The sequence below is a fragment of the Homo sapiens genome, chromosome 11 (genome assembly GCF_000001405.40).
Source record: "Homo sapiens chromosome 11, GRCh38.p14 Primary Assembly".
Lineage (NCBI taxonomy): Eukaryota > Metazoa > Chordata > Mammalia > Primates > Hominidae > Homo > Homo sapiens.
The window spans coordinates 75,165,211-75,185,756 of record NC_000011.10 but is presented as its reverse complement, the minus strand read 5'-3'; the positions used below and the strand labels follow the sequence as shown (position 1 = coordinate 75,185,756).

Genomic DNA, 20,546 nt, shown 5'->3' with positions numbered 1-20,546 from the left:
TACTTTCGGGAACACCCTGCTCTGCCTATGGAGTAGCCATTCTTTATTCCTTTACTTTCTTAATAAACTTGCTCTCACTTTACTCTATGGACTTGCTCCGAATTCTTTCTTGTGTGAGAGCCGAGAACCCTCTCTTGGGGTCTGGATTCAGACTCCTTTCTGGTAACAGTTGCAGTGAGCTGAGATCATGCCACTGCACTCCAGCCTGGGCGATAGAGTGAGACCCTGTTTCACAAAAAAAAAAAAAAAAAAAAAGAGACTTATACCCAATGGGGACAGCAGTTTGGAAGAGGCTACCCTGGGAGGAAGCGAGCTCCCTGTAACTAGGAGTGGTGCGCAGGCAAGGCTTCCCCACGTCCAGGGCCAGGATGCCATGGGCCATAGGGAAGGACCTGCTGGGCTGGAGAGCACTCATTTGGGCTTCCTGGTTCTGCCTCCTCTTCCCATGTTGCCTGTGAGGTTCCTACAGGACTCACACTCTGGTTGGGTCTGACACTTTCTCTTTCTTCTCCCATCTCATTTTTTCTGAGATCATCATGAGGCAAATGCTGGATTTCCCCACATTTCAGAACCTTCATGTCAGCCACCACCTTGGGGGGTCCCTTGTTCCATGCCTCCCCAACCTGGCTTCCTGATGCTGGCTGGCTCAAGGCTGGCCTGTCCCAGCAGGACGATTCATTCAAATATTAATTCATGTGTGTGTTCCCTTGGACTTTTTTTCCCTTTCTTCTTTCTTCTTTCATTCCAGCAGGGAGCAGGCTCTAGGTTTCCTGTCCTCAGGGGATGTTTGTGGCATGGCAGAAAACAGTAATGGATTGCAAGATTTCCCTTCCTGTCTTTTGTCTCCAGAGCTTGAGTCCCTTGAGAAGATTCTGCTGGGTGTTGTGGTGGGTGTGAGTAGAGGGGGGAGGCTCTGAGGATGAGAGGAAAAGAATACCATCTTCCCTAAAATAAAGCCTGGAAAAGAGGATGGGGCAGAGACAGAGCAGTCTGTGGGTTCCATGAGCAGCGAGGAGCCACGTACCCTCTGAGATAGGGCCCACGGAAGCAATTCACCTCCAAGTGGCAGGATGCAGGCTGACTTAGGGAGGCTGGGCTCCTAGGTTCCCAGCCTCACCAAGACTCTGCTCCAAGCATGGTAAGGGAACCATATGGGCCAGGATGGCAAGTGGGCATCACCATAGTGACCACAGTGGGCTGATGCTGATGTCTGCTGGGGGGGCCTCCCTGGTGCTTGAGCACTGTGTAAGACACAGGACCTTTGCTTCACCTTGGTCAGAGAGCTCTGAGAAAGGCTGAGATTGAATTTCTTGATGATCTGGCAGGATAGGCATTCAGAGTAGAAATTAAGTTGATTTTCAAGTAAAATAAAGAATGTCTATTTTATACATGCTTTAGGTCTGAGGCAAACCTTATTTGACATCTTTCTCCCCTGCTGGACCCTGAGCTCTGCAAGAGCAGGATTCATGTTTATCTTGTTTTCTGTTCAAACTCTTGTGCCTAGCAAGAGCCTGGGGCGAAATAGTGGTTATCTAGTAAATATCAATTGCAAGAGGAGCGCAAGAGATGGTTCTAACCAGAAGTGGGTATAGCCAATGCCAGGCTTTTGGGGGAAAAAATGAAAGCAAGAGGAGATGCCATCATGCCGCCAGGGAGTTCTTGAACTGCTGATGGTTCCGAGACAGGCAAAGGGTCCTCAGAGCACACCAGCTCTAGCGGAACTACCTTTCCAGGACATGCCAGGCCACTGGTATATGGGCTGGTAGCTACGCACACATGAGCCTGCTCCATCTTCACTGGGACCTGCCGGCAAGTCCTACACTCCTTCACACATGAGCAAACAAGTTCTGAAGGTAGGCAACTTGTTCAGCATCACATAACTAGAGAGTGGCAGGACTCAGATCCGAGCTCAAGCTTGCCTGAGTAGAAAACTCATGCCTTGACTGAGCTCTCACCTGTAATTCCAGCATTTTGGGAGGCCAAGGCAGCAGGATTGCTTGAGGCCAGGAGTTTGAGACTGGCCTGGGCAACATAGTAAGACCCCATTTCGACAAAAATTTTAAAATTAGCTGGGCATGGTGACATGCACCTGTGGTCCCAGCTACTCAAGAGGCTCAGGTGGAAGCATCACTTGAGCCCAGGAGTCCAAGGCTACAGTAAGCTATGATGGCACCTCTGCACTCTAGCCTAGGTGACAGAGCAACACCTTGACTCAAAAAAAACAACTCATACTTTATCCACTAGCCCCCTGAGTCAGACAGCCCTGATGCAGGACTGGAGAATTAGGAGGCATCTTTGTGGTGTGATTTGAAGGAAACTGAAATCCTACCATGTCTTATTTTTTTGGGTAAGGCAGCCTGCGTGGATTATTCATTTATACCTTAGAGCTGCACTGTCTCATACAGCAGCCACCTGTCACGCATGGCTCTAAGCAATTGAAATATGGCCAGTCCAAATTGAGATGTGCTGTAGGCATAAAATACACATCGCATTTTGAAGACTTAGTATGAAAAAAGGAAAATGTTTCATCATTAATTTTTTACTATTATATGTTAAAATAAGAATATTTTAGATATAGTGGTTTAAATAAAATGTATTATTAAAATTAATTTCTTTTACTTTTGCATGTGGACAAAAAAAATTAGAATTACATATGTGGTTCATATAACATTTCTTTTGGACATGCTGCCTTAAAGAGAATCAGTGAATCCTTGCTCCTTTCTGAGTCCCGTCTGAGCTCTGGGAGAGTGATCTGGGAGGGATGCCACAGTGGTGGGAGGGTCCTGGACAGCTGAGAGAGAGTGCTGGAGTGAGGGCTGCCCCAGGAAGCAGGAGAACAGCCTGGGGACAGACTGATCACTTCCCAACATTTTTTATCAGGAAGGGGCAGGGTAAGCAGAATCTTCTGAGTTCCTTGCTTGGGTTCCTTGTTCTCATAAAGAGTAGAAACAACCACAATGTCGTCTGCTCCCACGTGTACATTCCTATTTGGTCTACATTGCACTTTTTTTTTTTTTAACAGAGCCTTGCTGTGTCCCCCAGATTGGAGTGCAGTGGTGCAATCTCAGCTCACTGCAACCTCTGCCTCCCAGGTTCAAGCAATTCTCCTGTCTCAGCCTCCCGAGTAGCTGAGACTACAAGCACACGCCACCACACCTGGCTAATTTTGTATTTTTAGTAGAGACTGGGTTTCACCATGTTGGGCAGGCTGGTCTCGAACTCCTGACCTCGGGTGATCTGGCCGCCTTGGCATCCCAAAGTGCTGAGATTACAGGCGTGAGCCACTGCGCCCAGCTACACTGCACTTTCATATCCATCATGTCATTTAATTCCCACAATGGTCTGTCTGGTGCAGGGATTATTATTGCACCTATTTTACAGAAGAGGAAACTGAGGCCCCAAAAGGGGGAGTGTCACCCAGACAGTTATTGGCAGAGCAGGCTCTCAAACCAAACCCAGGTTCTCTAGTCTCCCTGTGTCAGTCCTGTCTCCTGCTGTGAAAGAGCATGGGGTTTGGAACAGGAGGGGAGTGACAGACCTTCAGGGGCTGGGTGGTCAGGGGTGACATCCAGGGAGAAGTGAGCTTTGGGGTTTGGGTAGATAGAAAGGGAGAGCAGATTTGAAGCAGAGGCACGGTGGTGGAGGTCTTGTGCAGGACACAGTGGGGACACCAACTTGATTACAGCAGTGCTTGGCTGGGGTAGGGGCTGGGGCCAAAAGATGGGCCACAGCCAGACTCGGGTGGTTTGGAAGGCCAGGCTGAGATTTGGGCTATATTCTGTGGCTATTGGGAGCCCTATCTGTCCTTAGCTCCTGACCCTGTGTTCTCCACAGATTTCTGCCGCTTGCCCCCTCATCTGTTTTGAGGACAGCTGAGTAATAACGGGCTCCAGAAACAGGAAACGTGCCTCTGCTCAGTGCAGGGATTGCAGTGTGACCCATCTGGGCTGTGTTTGCCTGGGTCAGCAGCCCTGGATGGAGAGGGCTGCTGGAACTTCCCCTCTGGGGGCTCTTTGCTGATTGTTGCAAGCCTGCCGGACACCATGTGCTGTGTGTAGCTCAGCCCATGGAAGGCCCTCCTGTCTGCTGGGCCCCCAGGGATCCAGGCGCTATCCTTGGTGAGAACTAAGTTCCTATTAAAAGAAGGCTTTGTCCAGGGGCTAGGGTCCCTGACCCACAGAGCCAATGTGGACTCTGGGGTGATATGGAACCCTCTGCCAGCCTCGGGTTCCTTCACATATCACGAAGGGAAGCAGCCACAGGGATGAGAGATCTGCTTAACTTCCTCCCACCCCATGAAAGAGAGTGTTTTTCAGCAAGAGCTGAGTTTCCATGAAGAATGAAACACACTTCCAGCTTTCTTTTTTCTTTTTTTTTTTTTTTTGAGGCAGAGTCTTCCTCTGTCACTCAGGCTGGAGTGGTGCAATGATGCAATCTCGGCTCACTGCAACCTCCACCTCCCGGGTTCAAGTGATTCTCCTGCCTCAGCCTCCCAAGTAGCTGGGATTATAGGCACCCACCACCATGCCTGGCTAATTTTTCGTATTTTTAGTAGAGACAGGGTTTCTCCATGTTGGCCAGGCAGGTCTCGAGCTTCTAACCTTAGGTAATCCACCTGCCTCAGCCTCCCAAAGTGCTGGGATTACAGGTGTGAGCCACGGCAACCGGCCCTGGCTTTCTTTTAATGAGATTCATGCCACTGGCCATGCTTCTTTTCCCTTTGGGCTACCAGAAACCTCAGAACCAAATAAATGGCTCAATGGTATCAACTGAATTAATCTTTATGGGTCCATGCATTTATGTTTTTCTCTCTCATTCTGAGAACCTTTCGCTCTTATTTATATTTTTCCTGCTCCTTAGCCTTAATTGATTGGTTTCACCATTTACTAGCTATGTGACCAGGTTACTTAATCTCTGTTACCCAAGTCCCTCTGGTATAAGATGGGGGTAATAACTATATCTACTTCACAGGTGGGTTATGGGGACTAAATGAGATCATCCATACAAAGGTCTTAGAACATTGCATGGTACAGAGTAAGTAATAAATGTTAGCCTAATTCCTACTGTTGTAGTACTGTACCTTTGTGTGGTGTGAGCTGTCTCAAACCTTTTATAGACTATAGTGCAAGTAGGATATAGAAAAGCATATGCAAACACAGTGGGATATCATCTCACACCTGAATGTGTATAGATACCATATAATATATTAAAATAGAGTAGAATGGCTATTATAAAAAATATGATAGATAACAAGTGCTGGGGAGGCTGTGGAGAAAAGGGCACACTTGCACCCTGTTGGTAGGGGTGTAATTTAGCACAGCCATCATGGAAAACAGTATGGAGTTTCCCCCAAAAGTTAAAAATAGAAACTTCGATCTAACAATCCACTACTGGGTATATATCCAAAGGAAATGAAATCAGTATATTAAACAGAGACAGAGCTGGATTTATTATACACTTAAAAATAGCTAAGACACTTTGGGAGGCAGAGGCAGGTGGATCATCTAAGGTCAGGAGTTCGAGGCCAGCCTGGCCAACATGGCGAAACCCCGTCTCTACTAAAACTACAAATATTTGCCAGGCATTGTGGTGCATGCCTGTATTCCAGCTACTTGGGAGGCTGAGACAGGCAAATTACTTGAGCCCGAGAGACAGAGGTTGCAGTGAGCCAAGATTGCGCTACTGCACTCCAGCCTGGGTGACAGAGAGAGACTCCATTTCAAAATAAATAAATAATAAATAAAAATAACTAAGAGAGGGACCAGGGCCAGGTGTGGTGGCTCACGCCTGTAACCCCAACACTTTGGGAGGCCAAGGCAGGCAGATCACTTGAGGCCAGGAGTTCAAGACCAGCCTGGCCAACATGGAGCCTGGAGCCTGTAATCCCAGCCACTTGGGAGGATGACGCAGGAGAATTGCTTTAACTCGGGAGGTGGAGGTTGCAGTGAGCCAAGATTGTGCCACTGCACTCCAGCCTGGGTGACAGAGTGAGACTCTGTTTCAAAAAAACAAAACAAAACAAAACAAAACCAACAACTAAGAGAGTATAATTGGAACATTTGAAACACAAAGAAATGATGCATTCTATTGATTGGTTATACATTGAAAAATAAATTAAAGAAATAAGAAATGATAAATTCTTTCTTGTTTCTTGAGGTGTTGGATACCCCATTTACCCTGATATAATTATTACACATTGTATGCCAATTCAAAATATCTCATGTAGGCTGGGCACAGTGGCTCAAGCCTATAATCCCAGCACTTTGGGAGGCTGAGGGGGGTGGATCACTTGAGGTCAGGAGTTGGGGACCAGCCTGGCCAACATGGTAAAACCCTGTCTCTACTAAAAATACAAAAATTAGCTGGGTATGGTGGCGGGCACCTGTAATCCCAGCTACTCAGAAGGCTGAGGCAGGAGAATTGCTTGAACCCCGGAGGCGGAGGTTGCAGTGAGCCAAGATCGCACCACTGTACTCCAGCCTGGGCAACAGAGAGAGAGAGACTCTGTCTCAAAAAAAAAAAAAAAAAAAAAAAAAAATCTCATGTATCCAATAAACATACCCACCTATGCACCCATAAAAATTAAAAATGAAAACATTTTTAAAAAGAAAATGAAAAAACACAAATTTTCAAATAAAAGAATGTATTTAAATGAAAGAAAGGAGAGAGATCTGCACTCTCACGCTTATTGCAGCACCATTCACAGTAGCCAAGATACGGATTCAACCAAAGAGTCCATCAATGGATGAATGGATAAAGAAAATGTAGTATGTATACACAATGGAATACTATTTGGCTTTAAAAAAGAAGGAAATCCTGTCATTGTGAAAACCTGGGTGAACCTAAGGACATCATGTTAAGTGAAATAAGCCAGGCACAGAAAAACAAATACTGCATGTTCTCACCTTGGTGTGAAATATAAAAAAGCCAAACTCATAGAAGCAAAAAGCAGAAGGGAAGTTACCAGAGCAAGTTGTTAGTCAAAGGATACAAAATTTCAGTTAGACAGGAGAAATAAGTTCAGGCAATCTATTGTACATCATGATGAGTCCAGTTAATAACAATATATTGCACACTTGCAAATTGCTAAGAAAGTAGGTTTTAAGTGTTCTCACCACACACACAAAAAGATAAGTAAGTGAGGTAAGGCATGTGCTAAACAGCTTGATTTATCCACTCCCCAATGCATACATAGATCAAAACATCATGTTCCACCATAAATACATATAATTTTTACTTGTCAGTTGATAAACCAAATTTAAAAAATAAAAAAGTTAAAAAACATGTAAAAAGGAAAAGCATACAAGTTTAGAAAAAAGGCACTTTTTCTCTTAGTTTTCCCCTTAAGAGCTGGCCTGCTCGGAGAAAGATGCCAAGAACAAGCACTCCTGTTTACTGCGCCTGCGCTTTGGCACTGAACTGCCCACCTCACCACTTTGCCTCACTTCATTCTTATAAAGACCCCGAGATGCAGATGTTATGGTTATACCCATTTTACAGATTTCAGAATTAGTAAGTAGCAGAGCCTGGCTGGTATGGTGGGGCCACCATATTGCATGGTAGACGCACCTGACAGTACTAGCTTCTTAAGCATACCCTGAGAATGATTGGTCTAAACAGAACTTGCGTTTGGAGTTTTGTTTTTTGTTTTTTTTTTTTTTTTGAGATGGAATCTTGCTCTGTTGTCTAGGCTGGAGTGCAGTGATGTAATCTCGGCTCACTGCAACCTCTGCCTCCCAGGTTCTAGTGATTCTCCTGCCTCAGCCTCCCAAATAGCTGGGGCTACAGGTGCCCACCATCATGCCCAGCTAATTTTTATATTTTTAGTAGAGACGGGTTTCACCATTTGGTCAGGCCAGTCTCGAACTCCTGACCTCAAGTGATGTGCCCGCCTCAGCCTCCTAAAGTGCTGAGATTACAGGTGTGAGCCACCACACCCAGCCTCATTTGGAGTTCTGAGCTAAGGAATCTGGGAGTGGCCAACCCAGAAATTCATTTCTTATTTATGAAGAACATCTGAACCTCTGGCTCATCCCATGAAACACAGGCTGTATGAAGGATCAAGGCCCTTTGTTTTGGGTTAAGTGAAGGTTGCCAGGTGGAGGGTGCCATATAATTTGCATGGTTTTTACAAATGGTAGTGATTCTCTGTCCAGCCCACCACCACTGGACCACCCTGTATGTAAGTTCCCTCAATAAACCCTATGTCTTGTTTGCTCACTCCGGGTCTTTTCTTCAGCCCCTCGAGCATGGTGCCATCCCTACTGAAGTCAGCAGGCCTCCAGCATGACATGTGTCTAACCCCTGCCATGTCTAGCCCTGTCCCTGCCACTGCAGGATGCCTTAGACACCAAGGAAGCTTGCATGGTGCCTCTTGGGCATGATCAGCTACCTTTCATCCCTTCTTTAGCCTCAGCCTCCTCTGACAAATGGCAGTATTGGACTAGCTCAGCTGGTTTTTAGGAACAGAACCCTTTTCCCAACTGAAATCTTATTCTTTAGATTTAGTCTTTAGACAGGTATAAAAACACAAAATAGTAGAACTACTTGGACTGAAGTGTGTGTGTGTGTGTGTGTGTGTAGAGGGGTGGAAGGCCCTTAGCCCTGCTCGGTGATGCCCCTCCTCCTCCTCCCTATGGTGGTACCCTTGGGGTTCTGGGGGTTCAATTCGAAAAACCACTCAAGCAGATTGCCCCAACAGGGCCTCAAGCCTCGTCGATGTTAAAGGAAGCTCTATGTGCAGACCTGGTGGTCTAGGGGAGCCCTTCCTCAGCCCTCTGGCGCCAGGACCTGGCTTTGTACAGACAGGTGCAAGGGCCCGTGGTGCTGTCCAACCTCTGGACAGGTCTTTAACCCTCTATGGGCCAATCCCTCCGTCAGTGAGATGCAGCAGGGTCTAGACGCTGTGCCTGCAAAGTGGAGGCCCTGGGCACTAGGAGGCCTGCGCACCTCAGAACTCACAGATGCTGCCACGGAGACACAAAGTCCCAGGGAAATGGAGGCCTCCTGGCTGGGCAAATCCCTACAGACCAGCCCTAAGTCCTGGGTTTTAAGGACCATTGCCACCTCACACTCCTGTCTTCCATCCCTGACTATTCTCCCAAAGAAGAACATGGAAGTTAACGACTGGGAGACAGTGGACATCACAGGCTTACAGACTCTTAGCCAAAATTGCAGCCATTTAGAAATGTGGATTTGGGGAGTCATAGACCATTCGAGGCACAGACTTTTAGCATAATGTAAGTACTTGAGAAGCTCTATTAGGAACACAGACTTTAAAACCATATAATTTTAGAATCCCAACCTCTCAGACATATTCCAGAAATAACAGACAAACAGACTCCTGGTCTCTATGGTCACAGAGTCCGGTGGTGCTCAGAGCCTGGAGAGGGACAGGGGTCCTCATGGCACAGGCTTGCCTGCCAGGAAGTAGCTCTCTGGGCCCCTCTGAGCCCCTGACCCAGTCCCAAGGGCAGGTTGTCAGAAGGACCAGAGGGCATGGCGGGCCCAGGAGAGTTGCTGGCTGAATGGGAGCACCACTACCACAGGGACAGATGGGGACGAAGAATCTGTCAGGGAGCCCTCAAGAGACCATCTTTACCCCACAGACCCTGCAGAGCCATCTGCCAGGAGTCCATGGGCCTAGCAGGACCTTGGGGACTGGCTGATTGTAGACAGGAAGACTGAGGCCTAGAGGGAGGTGAGGCCTGTCCTGGGTCACTCCTGTGAGGGTCTCTTGGTAGCACCTGAGCTCTGAGGCCGCAGATACAGGGACAGAGCCAAAGGCAAGAAAGTAGGGCTCCTGTCCCCTCCCATTCCCTGCATGGCCTCCCCCAATCCCATGTCCTGCTCTTCTCTGTGGGGACTGCTATTGCCCCCTGCCCCCCAGGCAGAGAATCCCATAATCATGGCCATGGGAGAAATCTGAGCTGTCATTTGTCATTCCCTGTCTCTCTGCATCTGGCCTTCCTTCACCTTCTCAGACCTCCTCGGGGCAGGGGCTGTGGAATGCACCCCTCTTTTCCCCTGTGAAAATGCTCACATATTTCTCCAGAGACAGTGAGTCATTTAGAGGAGATGGCCTTGAACCTGTCAGAGCCGACAGACCTTGTCTGATCTGCTGCCCATTAGACAGATAGAGACACTGAGGCCAGAAACCTTCTCGGGGGCACATAATTCTTGTATTACAAACTGCCAATCTCCCGGATACCTTTAAAAACAGCATTTACTTCTAAGAGGGTATTTAGGGGACCCCTGAGCCCTGAGCCTGGGAGGGGACGCCTGGTGAGATTTCAGAGTTAGCTCTGCCCTTCACTTTCTCCTCTTGCCCATTCTCTCGCCCTGCAGAAGATACACATCCCATGTCTGGGGGCCTGGACTTTCTGGCAGCCAATTCAGCCTCATTGGGCCTTTGCTCCTGGTTTATTCAACTCCTCATTGGTGGCCCTCCTGGGCCAGGCCAACCACGTTACTGCAAGCAGACCCGGCCAAGGCAGCCTCAGGGAGGTGGAGGAACAATTCCTCCCACATCAATATTTATTGCCTGAGAGCTGCTGGAAGCAGATCATCATGTTCTCAGCCCTTGTTTCTTTTTAAAGAACCTCTCACCCCCTTCCCTCCCCACTCCCCATCCCCAGTGTGCTGACAGAATGAATCCAGACAGCCAGACAGGTTCACAGCTGGGGAGCCAGGGTTTCAAAGCATCATAGAGACACAGCTCTTAAAATCTGAGTATCTGAATCATAGCAGCTCCGACTCAAGGACTCGTGCATTCTCAGAATCTGAGGCGCACAGGATATTGCTCCAGGAACCTAACCTCAGCATCTTACACAGCAGCACAGAATGGGGAAGTGGCTTGCTGCTCAAGGTCACATGACTGGCATGTGACAGAGCCCAGCGTGGTCTCCCACCCCTAAACTTTGCTTCTGTCACCTATCCCACCCGTGGCTCAACTGGCATTCTTCTCTGTTCAAATTTAGGACTCAATTTGGAGATCATCTGTAACCAGCAATATAGGCTCTCTCTCTTTCCTTTATAAACATCACTCCACCTTTAAGTTCTAGGAATTTCATCTTCTCGAAACTTTGGCCTGAACTAGGCAGAATCAGAAAGGCCCATCTGTAGTTCCAAACTGTCTTCTTCCCCTGAAACTGCTCACTCCCTGGCAGCTGCTTCCCCCTGCCTCTGAGACAGCTGCACCCAATCCCAGCATCAGCCCAACTCATCACTGTCTTGGGGACATCCCATAGCAGGGCAGCTATGTGCAGTCCCCAACCTGGGTAGCTCCCAGATGCACCTCTATCCCCTCACTGCCAATGCACGGCTTCCACCTGGCCTGGACCACCATCAGAGCTGTCTCATTTCTCTCCCCGCCCCCACCCTCTCCAAACATATTCAAATGCATCAACCTGCCACAGAAATGCTCTTGCAGCAAAAACATTCAACAGGATTTTTATAAATTGTCCCTTTGAAATTAGAATTACTTAGCAACAAGTAAGTTACTTAATTTATGATTGTCTATGATTTCTCAACAGCCACCTCCCATACTTGAGAAGGAGGAAATCTAATGCACAAATTTTCAGAATGTAATGAAATGTGTATAAGTATTAAAAAAATTAATGAACTTGACATTACTGGCTTGTAATTAAACTTTTAGGCCTGGCACGGTGGCTCACTCCTGTAATCCCAGCACTTTGGGAGGCTGAGGCGGGCAGATCACCTGAGGTTAGGGGTTCGAGACCAGCCTGGCCAACATGGTGAAACGCCATCTCTACTAAAAATACAAAATTAGCCAGGCATGGTGGCACACACCTGTAATCCCAGCTATTTGGGAGGCTGAGGCGGAAGAATCGCTTGAACCTGGGAGTTGGAGGTTGTGGTGAGCCGAGATCTAGCCTGGGCAATAGGGTAAGACTCTGTCTCAAAAAATAAAAATAAATAAATAAACTTTAAAAATTGTTTCTATTTTGTCATTTTCTTTTTAATTTGAAGCCAATTTGTTGTTTTTCAGGCCTCGTGTTTTTGTGGGTATCTGAAAAACTTGGAAGTCCCTGGCCCAGAATGGCTATCCTGCCTGGTGGCTCACATGATCCTGTCCTCTCCTACCAGTTTTGTGACCCTGGGCAAATCCCTCCACTGGGCTGGGCCTCTGTGTCCGCTTCTGAGGAGAGACCCACCTGCCCCAAGAGCAGAGGAGGAGGATTCTAGATACCCCTGGAGCATCACACCGGTCGTGACTTCTCCGTGAGTCTGTGTCCTCCCTAGACTGTGCCCGCTGGAAGGGTGGAGGCCACGGACTGATCTTCAGATCCAGCCTGGGGCCTGCACTCCATGCATGTTTCTTCCCTTCACTGTCCCCGAAAGGGCCAGGTTTATTTCTACAGCCAAATCCTTCATGCAGGGTGCTTCTGTGCCTAGAATCTCTGTTGCTCTCTCCTTTCTGTGCTTCCACAAATCCTTCAAAGTCCAGCTGAAATCCCTCCTCTTCAGGGAAGTCTTCCCAGATGATCCTACCCACCCTCCCAATTCTTAACATTCCTATGGCACATTCAGAATTTACAAAAACTTTAAGTGATGAGCACAGAGGCCATATTGTAGTGGTTAGTATGGGGGCATGGGCTCAGAAAGGTGCGGGTTCTCATCCCAGTGCTGCCTTGCTTGCTGGCTTTGTGATCTTGGGTAAGTCACTTTCCAACACTGGCTCTGGGTCTCCTCAGCTGTGGAGACAGCAGGTGATATTCACTGTGCAAGGCTGTCAGAAAGATGTGATGGAGCCCAGGCAGAAAGTATAGTGCCCAGTGGGGATGCAGTGTAATTTTTTTTTTTTTTGAGACGGAGTCTTGCTTTGTTGCCCAGGCTGGAGTGCAGTGGTGCAATCTCGGCTCACTGCAACCTCCACCTCCCAGGTTCAAGCGATTCTTCTGCCTCAGCCTCCTGAGTAGCTGGGACTACAGGTGCCCACCACCATGCCCGGCTAATTTTTTCTATTTTTAGTAGAGACGGGGTTTCACCGTGTTAGCCAGGATGGTCTCGATCTCCTGACCTCGTGATCCAACCGCCTTGGCCTCCCAAAGTGCTGGAACTACAGATGTGAGCCACCACGCCCAGCCGAAGTGTAATGTTACAAAGGAGAACAAGTGGGTGGTGCTGGAGCCTGGACCCAGTCAGGTGACATGGAGGGAGCTTACCTTCCTGGCAGGTGAGTCTGTGACTGCTAAGACCTTTCGCCGAAACTGAAGCTCACGTTTTTCCTTGGGCATTTCCTTGGGGAAGAAGAAGTAGGGGATGGCAGCCAGGGCCACTGCACCGGCAGCGATGAGGAAACCCAGCCACCAGGCACCCACCCATCGGGGGTCCTTTATGGTCAGGCTGATACCACCTGGAAGAGAAGAGCATGGTGACATTAGGGTCAGGATGATAGGCTGTCACTTCTAAGCCGCCATCCTGGGACTGGCCTCTGAGACATGAGGTGGCCCAGGCTGGGAGTCAGGAGACCTGAGTTCCAGTCTGCTCTGCCAGGTGTGTCCTGTGTGACCCTGGGCAAGTCCTTGGCCCTTTCCGAGCCTTGGCTTCTTCAACTACCAAGGCAGTATAGTGCAGTGGTCAAGGCCATGGACTCTAGAGGCGGACTGCTGGGTCTGAATTCCATTACTAACTCATAACCTTGGGCAACCTACACAACCTCTTTGTGCCTCAGTTTTTGTCCTTTGTGAAATATAGATATTAGTAGCTTCCAAATCATAGGACTGTTGTGAAAATTAACGAAATAGATGTGAAGCACTTAGAAGAGTGTGTGCCATATAGGTACCTGCTCCTCCTCCTCCTCCTCTTCCTCCTTCTCATTACTATTGTGATTATTATTCTTAAATGAATGTTTAGGATTACTGTTGTGTTTCTCAGACCTTCATGATGATTAATATCCCCAGGGATGTTTGTCAAAAAATACCTGGCCTTACTGAAGACCCACTTAGAATGACCACAGAGTGGGGTGGGAAGGTGACCAAGGAACCCGTACCTTTAACAAGTTCCCCAGATGATTTTGATCCCCCACTAGGTTTAATTGGGACTAGATTATCCCAGGTGTACCTCCTGGCTGGAACACACAAAGCTCCCGTCATACTTCTTAATCACAAGGCTGAGTTGTGTACATTTTCCTTCAATTTCCACAGCATCCAAAAATGCTTCATAAAAATACAAATGAGCTGGGTGCAGTGGCTCAAGCCTGTAATCCCAGCACTTTGGGAAACTGAGGTGGAAGACTCATTAGAGGCCAGGAGTTCGAGACCACCCTGAGCAACATAGTGAGGCCCTGTCTCTACAAATAAATTAAAAAGTTACCCAGGTGTGATGGTGCACACCTGCAGTCTCAGCTACTCAAGAGCCTGAGGTGGGAAGATTGCTTGAGCCCAGGCATCCAAGGCTGCAGTAAGCTAGGATTGTGCCACTGCATGAGGGGCAGAGTGAGACCCTGTCTCAAAACAAAAACAAGAAAAACCAAATGCTCCTTGATGTACCAACCCCACACACAGAGCTGGTTCCCCTGGTGCTTGATCCTAAGCTCCTCCCAGGCAGGGACCAGAGGACTCAGTTGGCACTTAGCAAACGCACCTGTAAAGCCGGGGATGGGTTTGGCTTTTGCGCTGATTAGACTTGATTCTCTCCTTACTTGTTATCTCCCCTGCCTCCATGTCAGGCTGGTGAGAGCTCACACATGCACCTCTCCAACCCGTCCGCTTCTCTCTTATCAGTCTGTGCCTGCAGCTAGCATGATCTGCCCACCCTGTGAAATCCCCCATGGAGAAGGGAGTTTCGAGGTGGCAGGTCGGTCCACAGAAATGTCACATCTGCCTGTGGAGATACCCCGTCTGCCTGGACAATGTCAACAGAGTCAGAAAACACACCCCCTTGCATGGAGCTGAGGTGTGTCAGGGAAATCTAGGGAACCCCTGACTCCCAGGACTTTTCTTTCAGGGGAGGGAGGGGTCGCAGCCAGAGCCCACACTCTGGACCCAGCCTTCCAGAAGGAGAGTGGGCGGGGCGGGGCTGTCCCTGGTGGCTGCTGTTCAGAGCTGCGCAGATCTGTTCTGGCTGGAGGCGCTTGTGGGCAAAAGCTGGGGAACGAGAAGCAGCGTCTGCATGTCCATTCAGCCACACACACGTCACCTGAGGCTCCCAGGACCTGGCAGAAAGTCTGCAGGTGAGAATGGCAGGAGGCACATCTGGAGCTGCTTGGTGCGACGAGTTGGGAGCTGGGATGCCACAGTGACGTGCTCTAACAGGAGTACGCTACTGCTCTCCAAGGACTCCAGAACCCTGGAACCCCCAACACCCCTCCCTCCTGGCCACCTTCAGACCAAGCGTCAGTCCCACTCCTTGGCCCACTCTGACCACTGCCTGGACCAGAAACTACTCTTTCCCAAATGGTGCCCCTGGCAGTTTCCTAGACTCTGAGCTGGTCAGAACTAGAAGGGTTCTTAGAGGTCACAGTAAATGTCCCATCTGAGAGAGGCCCAGGGTAATACTTTGAGTCACCAAGTTCTGCTCCAAAAGTTCTCTCCAGTGTGCACTGTCCTCTCTGTTTAACTCAAGTCTTGTTTCCCCCTAAAAACAGGGGCTCCCTACAGGCAAGAGAGTATGCTCTTCCACCTGCCCCACAGCATGTGTGAGCAGGGGGCTGAGGGCCTGTTGAAGGTGGGGTATGGAACAAGGCGAAGACTCCCAGTAATAGTAGTGACGGCAACCATGGTTCCTAATTTGATGGCACTTTACAGTTTATCTCCACCATCTCGCTGGACTCTGATCACAGCTTTAGGAGACAGACAGGACAGAGATTATCTCACAGATGAGAAAGCTGAGGTTCAGAGAGGCTAAGAGACTTGCCCAAGGTCAGTGGTGCTGCTAGGATTTGAACCGAGGTCCCCTGGCTCAATGTCTCCTATGAGAGTGGCAGTCAGTTAGCTAGGGTCTAGCAAACATGTGCTCCTGAGGCTCACCTTCTGGCATCTGGTTAATGTCCACATAAAGGCGCAGCATGAGGCTGCCCAGCCCAAAGGCCAGGCCTGGCCCCATCATGGTCACTGCAAACAGGATCCCTACAACACAAAGCCTGAGTTAGGATCCTCTGGCCCTGGCTTCCCTCTGCAGACCAGTGCTTGCCCAGTCTCTGATGGGCAAGAACACTCTGTCTCCCCTGGTCAGGGATGGGGAACTCTCCAGGGCTTCCCTGGACCTTTACTGGCCAGATGGGGCAGGGGGCAGGGATTCCATCTCCAGCCCCAACCCTGGGTCTCTCTTCCTCCTAGTTGAGCCTGGCCTGACCCTCAGAGGCCAAGGGATGGCACTGGTCCTCACCGAGGTAGAGGGGCGAGTTGCTGTTGTGGGCAAAGTCATCGATGTAGGAGATGCCAAAGGGCTGAATGGGCACCCCGCCCACGCCCAGCAGGGTCTGTGCCACGAACATGATCCCCACCACACTCAGATGCTGGGTTTCTGTGTAGCTTGAGCAGTTGCCATTGGAGGGGGCCGAGGCTGGGGCCGAGGTTGTGGGCAGGCACAGGGAAGCCTTGAAGTCCTGTGGCATATCCTCTGAGAGACGACAATGAAAAAATATTATAACAATAGCTAAGACTTAAATAGCGCTTACCCCGGGGGAAGGTACTGTTCTAAGTGCTGTGTATAAAAATAATTTGAGCCCCACAACAAACCTCAAGGGTGAGTGCTCTCATTATGCCTGTTTCATAGGTGAGGAAACTGATGCTTAGACAGCAACTAGTAAGGTGACAGGGCCAGGATTGGAACTCAGGAGGTCTGGCTTCAGAGTCCATGCTCTTAAACTGCCCTACACCACCTTTCTGAGCTGAGGCATTTGCAAGTGCCATAGCAACGGTGGCCCCTGGGTGGGGCGGGGTGGTCAAAGGTGGTGTAGTTTGAACTGGGTCCGGAAGAATAAACACAATTTTCCAGAAAAAGAGGGAGGGGAGGGGTGTTCCAGGGAGAGGTCACAGTACACGCAAAACCCAGGGACTTGAAAGGGCACCGTGCCGGGAGAATGAGAAGCTCAGAATGGCTAGATCACAAAGTATGAGGGCAAGGCCAGGGCTGAAGGCACAGTGGAACAGGGTGGGGCAGCTGGGGCTGGATTGTGGAGGGCCCTGGGGCCCTTGGCATTCACTTTGGGGGAGGGTTCAGTGTCAGCTTGGGACACAGATGCAGAGTACAGAAAAGAATTTCTTAATTTAGTACCTGACATTTGTTCCCTGGAGCTCACCAATATTTGGTGAGCAAACTTGAGGAGACCCTCACACTATTATTATCCCAAATGTGGCTGTAGAAGCAGCCTTCTCTCTGCGGCCCTCCATTTATGGAGCTGGGACTCTGAGCTGTGTCAACCCAGCACGGAGAGCCACTCCCTTGGGCTGCAAAGAGCCATGTGAACCAAGGTCAAGAACGTGAAAGAAGCCTTCCACGGAGGCTGCCTGGGACTTGCTGTGTGACTTTGACAGAGGCCCTTACCCACTCTGGGCCTTGGTTTCTTCATCTTTCAAATGAAAGAAAGAACAAAATTTGGCCAGGCGCTGTGGCTCATGCCTGTAATCCCAGCACTTTGGGAGGCCGAGCAGGGTGGATCACCTGAGATCAGGAGTTTGAGACCAGGCTGGCCAACATGGAGAAATCCCATCGCTACTAAAATACAAAAATTAGCCGGGAGTGGTGGCACATGCCTGTAATCCCAGCTACTCAGGAGGCTGAGGCAGGAGAATTGCTTGAACCTGGGAGGCAGGGGTTGCAGTGAGCCAAGTTCAAGCCACTGCACTCCAGCCTAGGTGACAGAGTGATACTCCATCTCAAAAAAAAAAAAAAAAGAAAGAAAGAACAAAGTTCTCCAGATAAGGAATTCAGAAGTGGAAGAATTCGGCAGTTCAGAACAGCAGCTAAGGCAGGGCTACCTGGGTGTGTCCTTGGGGCAGTTCCTCCCCTCTCTGAGCCTTGGTTTCCTCACTTGTGAGGAAGTAATGATAATCCCTGCCTCCTGGAGTCGTGAACATTAAGAGTGGTGGGTGGTGAGTGTGCCTGGGCATGGGGCCTACTAGACGTTAGATGCAACAATTATTAGAGAGGTCATGTCTGCCTTCCCCATCCCTGTGTCCCCAGTGCCCTGCAGAGGGCCTGGCACAGAACACAACTTCATCAGTATTGGATGAAGAATAAGTGAGTGGAATAGCCTGGAGAGTCAGAACAGGAGGGGAGTTTGGAGATCCCCGAGTCTCTCCCATTCTTTGGGCTGATGTAAAGACGGAGGCTCAGACAGAAGGGCTTTGCTTGAGGATTCAGGGGCACCTATTGCAGAGGGGTTTGTATGGTAGTAAGGATGAAGAACATGCATGACCTTGCACAGAAAAAGTGAAAATGTAAAGTGAAAATTCTGTACAAAGAAATGTGAGGAAGTATTATTTTCTGGTATTCCAAGCAGTTCTCTTGACAAGTTTCCACGCAGGCCTAGAGAACGACTCTGCATTCTTCATGCACGCGCTGAGTTTTCCCATTTTCCTGCCTCTGCACCCATGCCCTCCCCTCCACCTGCAACTCCCACCTTCTCTCTAAGCTGCAGCTCAAGTGCCACCTCCTCTAGCCCCTCCAGCTCCCTCCAGCTGCCAAGGTCCTTCCCCTATTCAGGGCTCTAATGGCCTCCTCTGGCCACCTCCCAAGGTGCTGGGCTCTATACCTTGTAGCAGAGTTGCCCGTGCTCACGCCAACCCTGCGCCCCACTGGGTCATGTCTGCTTCATCTTCTCTCCCCTATCCCTGGCCTCTGGTCTGGTACAGAGTGGGACTTCAGAGGTGTGAGCTGGTGGGAGGAGGAGGGAGGAAACCTGCTCTCTGACAGTCTTCTTCCCCTAGAAAGGCTTCCTCCATGCCAGGCTGGGGTGTGGGCTCCTCCCACCCCTGTGCTTCCCTCCTCACACAATTGTTTTTTGTTTTATCTGTCTCCTCTCCCAGGCTGGGAGCTCCCTAGAGTAAAAAGGACTGATTCCCCTGAGAGGCTCAGGCACGAAGTAGGCAGCATTAAGAGTTTGTTGCGTGTCCCATTGGATGGATGAATAGATAAATAGATGGATGAGTAGTAGGTGGATGGATCGATGGGTGGATAGATGATGGATGAATGGGTGGATGGACAGATGGGTGAGTGGGTGGGTGGGTGAGTGGGTAGGAGAGGGAAGGAATAAAGTGAACGATCAGGTTGTTAGGGTCATTCTGTAAGAGACATCCATTTGTCAAGTAGGGCCTCAACAAAATCCCACTGGGCTGAACATGGCTTCACCATTCCTGTCCAGAATTCTTTCATTTTTTAAATTTGTTCATTCACTCATTCATTCTTTCTTTTCCCAATGTCTTTTATGAGGATTAAATGCGTGACTACACATTAAGTGCTTAGAGCAGTGTCTGGTGCATAGTAAGTAGTGTATGACACTATTATTATTACACACGCAATTCCGGAGGGTCTACTGCATGCCAGGCCCTCAAAGTAGGCTGTGTTGTAAATTCACCCCCACCTAAAAAAACCCACAGTGACATACAAGCAGGCCCTCACCCCTATGCGCAGGGCCTACTTCCTACCGCACTCCCCAGGTCTGCCAGAGACCCACCTGGGCTGGGGCCTGGGGAGCCAGGTTGGGGGGGGACTAGCAGCTGTCCTGGGGTGTTGAGGTTTTGGGGTGTATCCTGCCAGATGAATGCCTGTGGGGTGGGCCCCAGCGCAAAGCAATGCAGAGGCTAACGTCCCACTCCTGCCCAGCCCCTGCTGCTCTTACCAGGGCTGGTGTTGTCGTAGCGGTATGGCTCCGAGATGAAGTGCGGGAGAGTCATGAGCAGGCCCGCCAGGGCCACAAGGATAGCCCCATAGCCAATCATTCGGGGTCGGTGCACCCGGCTGCCAAAATAGCTCACAAACACAATCAAGGCTGTGTTCCCCACCTGCAAAAGGACGAGGTGACCCATTAAGGTGGAACAGTTCCCAGGGCTGGGGGCCTGCACTATCCTTGTCTCTATGTCTAACTTCCGTATGCCCATCTGAATAATGGACTGAATAAAAATCATCTGGGTCCCTCTCCTGGGTCCCCCTCGGAAGGGCCGCACGGCCCCCTTAGGGGAGAGAAATGAGGGCAGAGTGGAGAAAGCTAGGAGTTCAATTCCATTTTTGAACACAGATTGGACCCCATGTTAGAACATGGGGAAGGATGGGCCATCAAATGAAGGGGTTTCGAGTTTCAGGAATGTCATAAACAAAGTCTAAAGCCAGGTCAAGGCTTGAATTTTTTTTTTTTTTTTTTGAGACGGAATTTCTCTCATCGCCCTGGCTGGAGTGCAATGGTGTGATCTCAGCTCACTGCAACCTCTTCCTCCCAGGTTCGAGCAATTCTCCTGCCTCAGCCTCCCAAGTAGCTGAGATTACAGGCATGCGCCACCATGCTCAGCTAATTTTTGCATTTTTAGTAGAGACGGGGTTTCACCATGTCGGCCAGGCAGGTCTCAAACTCCTGACCTCAAGTG

At 49.5% G+C, this 20,546-nt stretch overlaps 1 protein-coding gene across 6 annotated transcripts in view; it reads right to left on the bottom strand.

Moving 5' to 3' along the window:
* SLCO2B1 (solute carrier organic anion transporter family member 2B1) overlaps nt 1-20,546 on the bottom strand; it is a 55,443-nt gene that overhangs the window by 20,793 nt on the left and 14,104 nt on the right. For 5 of the 6 annotated variants that reach the window (NM_007256.5, XM_017017157.2, XM_047426333.1 and 2 more), the window contains exons 4-7: nt 19,808-19,970; nt 16,351-16,584; nt 15,993-16,091; nt 13,188-13,378 (exon numbers count right to left, since the gene is read on the bottom strand). In NM_007256.5, the coding sequence (NP_009187.1) occupies nt 13,188-13,378; nt 15,993-16,091; nt 16,351-16,584; nt 19,808-19,970 (687 nt within the window). The remainder of the gene's footprint in view (nt 1-13,187; nt 13,379-15,992; nt 16,092-16,350; nt 16,585-19,807; nt 19,971-20,546) is intronic. The other variant, NM_001145212.3, reaches the window with a different exon arrangement.